The sequence below is a fragment of the Homo sapiens genome, chromosome 20, assembly GCF_000001405.40.
Source record: "Homo sapiens chromosome 20, GRCh38.p14 Primary Assembly".
Classification (NCBI taxonomy): domain Eukaryota; kingdom Metazoa; phylum Chordata; class Mammalia; order Primates; family Hominidae; genus Homo; species Homo sapiens.
In genome coordinates this window covers 61,243,419-61,249,583 of record NC_000020.11, presented here as the reverse complement: position 1 = coordinate 61,249,583, position 6,165 = coordinate 61,243,419, and positions in this window count along the sequence as shown.

The following is a 6,165-nucleotide window of genomic DNA, read 5'->3' as shown; positions in this document are numbered from 1 at the left end:
AACCTGGACCTCCAGGGGTGGAGCCTGGGCCTCTGCCTGGGGTAGCTGGAGAAACCCTGGCACAGTGTTTGGCACATTGGCCAGTGGGACTGTGGCCTGCCTTTGGTCCACCCAGTGCAGGGAAGACCACAGCTGGCCTGGAGGAGGAGCTAGTCTCTCTGCACTTTGGATAAAGAGCCCTAGAAAAATGTGTGCGTTTGTTTCTAAGAGAGATTAAGAGAATGCATTTGGGAGGTAGTGTATAAGTGACTGTTTGCTCTCAACACCTGTAAACTGTTGACAGTAATTGGACTACAGATGTTTGCTAAGCTTGATAGACTTCTCTGTCTCCCTCTCGATGAGGTGAGTCTGGGAAGGGGTTCCTCTTTAGAAGCAAAAACCAAGTGCTTGTATCAGGGCCACATTTCCCTATATTCGTTGGATGTTAATTTGTTTCCTTCCCTATTGATAGTTATTATTGTAGACACTTCAATGTTCGACAAAAAGGCTGTTTTGTACAGAAAGCAGTGAGATGTTGGCAAAAGGTGTGTTCGTAGAATAAAACATTGTCTTTGTGGGCGATTGAAGATATTCAAGGCACTGTAGAAATGAATGGAATCAGCCTGCTACCCAGCTCAAGAAAACTCCCTGCATGCAATAGAGAAGAGCGATCTTAAAGCAAAAAGCAAAGGAGAGATTGAGAGGGGCGAGCAGGCAGCAGAGAGACCAGTACAGATCGCTCCCTGCCTTCCATTCCAATAACGCTCACCCGCTGAGGTGAAGCTACACTGGGAATAAAGAAAGGAATAGAGTTATTGTTGTAGGTTTTTCAAAATCTATCTTTCTCCATGAACAGGGATCCCTATGTACTGTGTGGCAGGTACTGTGTCGAAGGTTTTCAGTCATGATCCCATGCGATCCTCACATAGGACGGAGGTGGTGATGCCCATGGTCCACAGACAGGACAGACTTGGGTATGTGAGCAGCCTGGCCTGGGTCACCCGCCGGCACGGGGTGGGCTGAGATTCTACTCCAGGCAGCGTGACTTAGGACCTGGGGGCATGGCTGTGAGGTGCATCCCTTGGAAGCAGAAATCCCAGGGGGAAAGATGCAAATGTCCCCTTCCAACCTAGGGCTGTCTTCTTTCCTTTTCCAGTCTCATGCTCAGCCTGGCCCACTCGCCACCAGCAGAATCCTGACCCTCTAGTCCATCCAGAAGCACACGCCCCCATCCAGGCTCTGTGCCTGTGCCTCTGCTGCTCCCTCCGGAGCTCCTTTCTCTCGGAGCACTGTGTTGGCTTTAGCTGCTGCAGGGCTTGGTGGACACCTCTCTCCTCACAGTGTGGTGGAGCTCCTTTCTGTGTGTCCGCCCTCTGGCCACTCCGAGAGCCTTGAGGGTGGGGGAACAGGGTGTTCCCCTCTCCACATGTGGCCCAGGCTCTAACCCTCTAGGAGCCCCCAGGGGGTGGACCCATAAAGCAATGATACCAACGATGACCCCCACTGGCTGCACTGTACCCTGGGGTACTTCCTGCACTCCCCCATTATACAGATGAAGACACTGAGGCATGAAAAGAGGGGAGGAGCTTGACCTGGAACCCAGGGCTGGCTGAGTTCAGACTTACAGCCTTAGTCATGACTGTGCTCCAAAGAAGCACACCATGCACTCTGGGTTCTGAGGAAGAACCAGGTGAGGCTGCTTCTCTCACTCCCCTGGGACTTGGGGGTCTTTGAATCTTTGGAAATTTCCATGGAGCAGGAGATGCAATTCACAAGGGGAAAAAAATTCAAAACAAAACAGTCAAACCATGCAACAATCAAAGGTATCGGATCTGCTGGAGAAGGGAGATGCGTCCTGGCAACAGAAGATGGGGAGGGGCCGTTTTGAGATCCCAGGGCTTTTGTTTGTTCCATGTTGTTGCTTTGCTTGTTTGTTTCTTGTCTGCTGTTAAAAAGGGGGGAACACCAGAGGTGGGAGCAGAGACACACGTGTCACAGGGAGGCCAACGACAGGGCCCTGGCTCCACCTCGCATCATGTCTGCCTTGTCTCTGGCTGGTTTATAGAAGCAGCTTGACAGAGGAGAAAGGAGGTCAGGGTAACCTCTGCTGGAGCGGGAGCCGCTGACATGGGTGGACTAATAGTGTCAGTGTGAGACACAGTGCACCTTGTTACACTCCCATGTCCCACGGGGGACGTGGGCCCCAGTTCCCTCAGCCTGGCCCCGTCCTCTGCACCTGTTCCCTGGGACCCCCCCCCCACCCCGCCCGCCTCCCCGGCGTGGGATGGACTGTGCGCTTCACATCTGGGACTTAATGCATTCACCTGCCCCGTATCCTGGTACCATTAAGGTGGGGCAGAGAACTGAATGTTTTTCTTTTACTTTAATTTTTATCTTTTTTTCCTTTTGTGGTTGATTCTTATCCCAAAGCATATCCCAAGTGCATCCACTTCCCTCTAGCTGAAAACTGGAGATCCATCATTGCTCACCTGGATCTCTGCCGGTCTCCTCCTCACTGGGTTCTCTCTGCAAACCAGGCCCCAGAGGGACCCACTGAAGACTGAATCAAGACTGTGACATCCCAGTCCTGGCTTAAAGCCCTCAGGGGCCCTCCTGTAGACACTCAATAACAGCCCACAGGTCCTAAACCCTCTGGCCTCTGCCCGAGTCCTCAGTCCGGTGTCCCGGCACTGCACTCCACTCCCAACCAATGGCCTCTTGTTTCTCCCTAGCTGGTTCCTGCATCTGGGTCTCTGAACTTGCCATTTGGAACATTCGGCCCCAGATGCCCTGATGGCTGATGGCTGCTCGGCACACAGGCTTCTGCTCAGAGAGGCCTGCGGGACCCCCGGCAAGGCTGCTAGGTAGTGACAGCTGCTCACCCCTCTTGCTCTGGTTCTGAGCTTCTTGAATATTTCCAAAGGGCAGGGGCACTCCTACCTACACAATGTTCTGTTCTGTCCCTAGCACCTGGGACAGCATCTGGCCTGCAGGGCTCAGCAAATACCCAAATAGAGAAACCCGAATACAGGATTGCAAAAGCTGGGAGAGGAGAGGAGTTTCCCAGGACTTGGCCTTGCAGGAGTGGGGAGTGGTCCCGTGATGCTGCACCTGCCCAAGCCGCTGCCCCACAAGGAAGTAGGAATGAAAAGGAACAGGGCAGGGCTTGCAAGAGTGGGTCCCGGTGAACGCACCATCTGCCTGGGATTCCAGAGGCAAGGGTCGGGGGAGTGCAAGGAAGATGATAAAAACTAACGTCCTAGGAGAGGAAATCAAATTAAACAGTAAAATAGATAACATTGGATTTAAAGGGAGGCAGAAAACAAGGGACATGCTGGGAGTAGGAGTCATAGGACAGTGGCCATAAAATACCAGAGACCAAGGAGAGGGGAAGAAGGTGGAGAGTAGGTCTTCGGTGCTAACATATCCACCTGGAGTGTGAGGCTGTCTGCTGGGTAATGAGGGCCTGGGTGAAACCGCTCTCACCTACAGAGGGGCTGGGTGGCTCCTTTCAAGTTAACTTTCACCGGGTTTTCTTATCAAATTTTGGGATTACAGCTGATCACTTTCTGCAGAACACAAGTCCTAGGCTGTGAGAGGTGGCTGGGATCCCCGGCGAGTGGGATGGAAGTGCCCAGGCCACTGCCTTCTGCTCAGGTAGCACATGGGGGCTCCCTGCCGAGCATCTGTCCTCAGGAAGCAAACCTCCAGCAAGCCTAGGTGCTCCACTTTCTGGCTCTGTGGTTGGAACTCTAATGGAGAAGAAACTGGAGAGGCCAGGGGAAGATGCCGCCTTCTCAGACACACATGCCCCACTGGAGAGCCACTTCCTGGGAGAAGGGGAACTAACTGACAGTGGGACTGCCTGACAAGCGCCTTAAAAATTTGATTGCATGGACCCCTGCCCGGCTCTGTAGATCAGGTTCAGCAAATATCATCAGGGCCTGAGTGACACTATTCTTGACATATCCCCAGGTGACTCAGAATGCACATCAGTATTTAATCTTCTGGGGAAGGCACACAGTCACTTCCAAATGTTTCCGCTCCAACACCTTCCTGAGACTTCAGTTTTGATAGTTTTCCAGTAAGGGGCCACCTTGGGTTGGCACATGAATGCCTGATGTGATGGGGGAAGTGAGGCAGGGGCGCAGAGGAGGCTGGAAGTCCTCTTCCTGGGGAAGGGCTCGTGACAATGGGAGTCTCAGGACAGCCAGGAGGGGCCTCCAAGTGATCAGACACCACATGGGAGGCAGAAAGGAGACCCTAAGGAAGAAGGTGGGGTGATACTGACATGATCATCTGGGTAACTCAACAGGCAACTCAGCGCTCAAGCCACATAGGGAAACTAATCCCAGGAACAAGATTCATCCCAATGGACTAGGTCCAGATGGCCAGCTGCACGCAGAAGAGGCCGTGAGTGCAGACGAATTAGTGGTGTTGGGGGTTAGGGCATCAGAGGATGGATTGGGAGGATGCAAGTTCCCTTCTCTGCCCCCAACAGCTGCAGAAGGAAGAGGTTCAAGGGGCTGCGTGAGGGACCCTAGCAGAAGGCCGAGATCTGCACACAGCCTTCAGCTGTGTGGCTTGGACACATTGTGTGAGAATGAAAAGCATCTCTGACATTCAGGCAACACTTTTGCTGTCTCAAGACTGGTTTCTTCTGGAGAATTCTATGACGAAGGAAAAAGAAGAGAGAAAACTGGATGGCTGATTAAGAAGGACCGTGGATGTTCTCCAGAGATGACATGGGGTTCTCCCAGGACCAGAGAGGCGCAGCTCCGTCAATCAAGGATGAGGAAGGCCCCTTTGGTCCAGCGGCAATCAGTGCCTTTGTGTAGCATACTTGGGTTCATGTGCATGGATAAGTGAGAACAGCACAGATGTCAGGCTCAGAGGAACTGAGCTCAGCCTAGTCCTATATGAAGGATTCAAAGTCTCTTGTCCCATCCCTGTTGAATCCTCTAAATTCACTGATTAATTCAGGGCTCCAACTATGCACAGGGGCTGTGCTACGTTTCACAGAGGCAGCTGGGGATACAAGAGACACGGTTGCTGGCCCTCAGACCTCACAGTCCAGCGGGGAAGTTAGGCCTGGAACAAAGATGCCAGGTGGACTGGCTCAGGGAGGCACTAATCCTGGGGGTACCTCACACGTTCACACCTAACATCTCAGCTCATCCTCCCGCTGCCGGAGTGGGACTTGCAATATCAGCCTCAATTTATAGGTGTGAAAACACAAACACTGTCGGTTCTGAGATTAGAAACAGGGCCATCCTTTTCCCAGAACCCCAGCGTTCAGGGTTCTAGGGGCCACAGTGGATTATCCATCTGCTGTTCCAGGTGGAAGCAGCTGCTTCAGGCTGGGCCTCCTTTGCTTTCCTCCAAACTCCACAAAGTCTGCAGTCTGCTGTTCATAGAAGACTATGAATAGTACATGCCCTGCATCCTCTCCACTACCACTCTAAAAATATTAATGGACTTTATATTTCAGAGCAGTTTTAGGTTTACAGAAAAATTTAGCAGGATGTATGGAGCATTCACAGACACCATTTCCCCTCCAGACACAGGCGTACAACTTTCTTGTTAACATCTTGCATTTGCTACAATCGACAAACCGGTATTGATACACTATCATTCACCGAGGTCCACACTTCACACTGGGGCTCACTTTTTGTGTCATAGGATTGTATGGGTTTTGTGAAATTTATCCAGTAATACAATATAATACAGAATAGCTTCACTGCCTTAAACATCCTCCAGCCTGGACAATGTAGTGAGACTTCATTTCTAAAAAAAATTTAAGAATTAGACAGGTGTGGTGGCACACACCTGTAGTTCAGCTACTTGGGAGGCTGAGGCAGTAAGATCACTTGACCTGGGAGGTCAAGGCTGCAATGACCTAGTATTATGCCACTGCACTCTAGCGTGGGCAACAGAGCAAGACCCTGTCTCTAAAAAAATAAAATAAAACAGAATACTCTGTGCTTCACTTATTCATTTCTTTCTCCCCCAAACCTCTGGCAAGCACTCTTCACTGTCTCCATAGCTTTGCCTTTTTCAGAATGTCACGGAATTGGAATCACACAGCATGAAGCCTTTTCAGACTGGCTTCTTTCACTTAGCAACGTGCATTTTGAGTTTCCTCTGTGTCTTTTTCTGGTGCAACAGCTCATTTTTATCACTGAA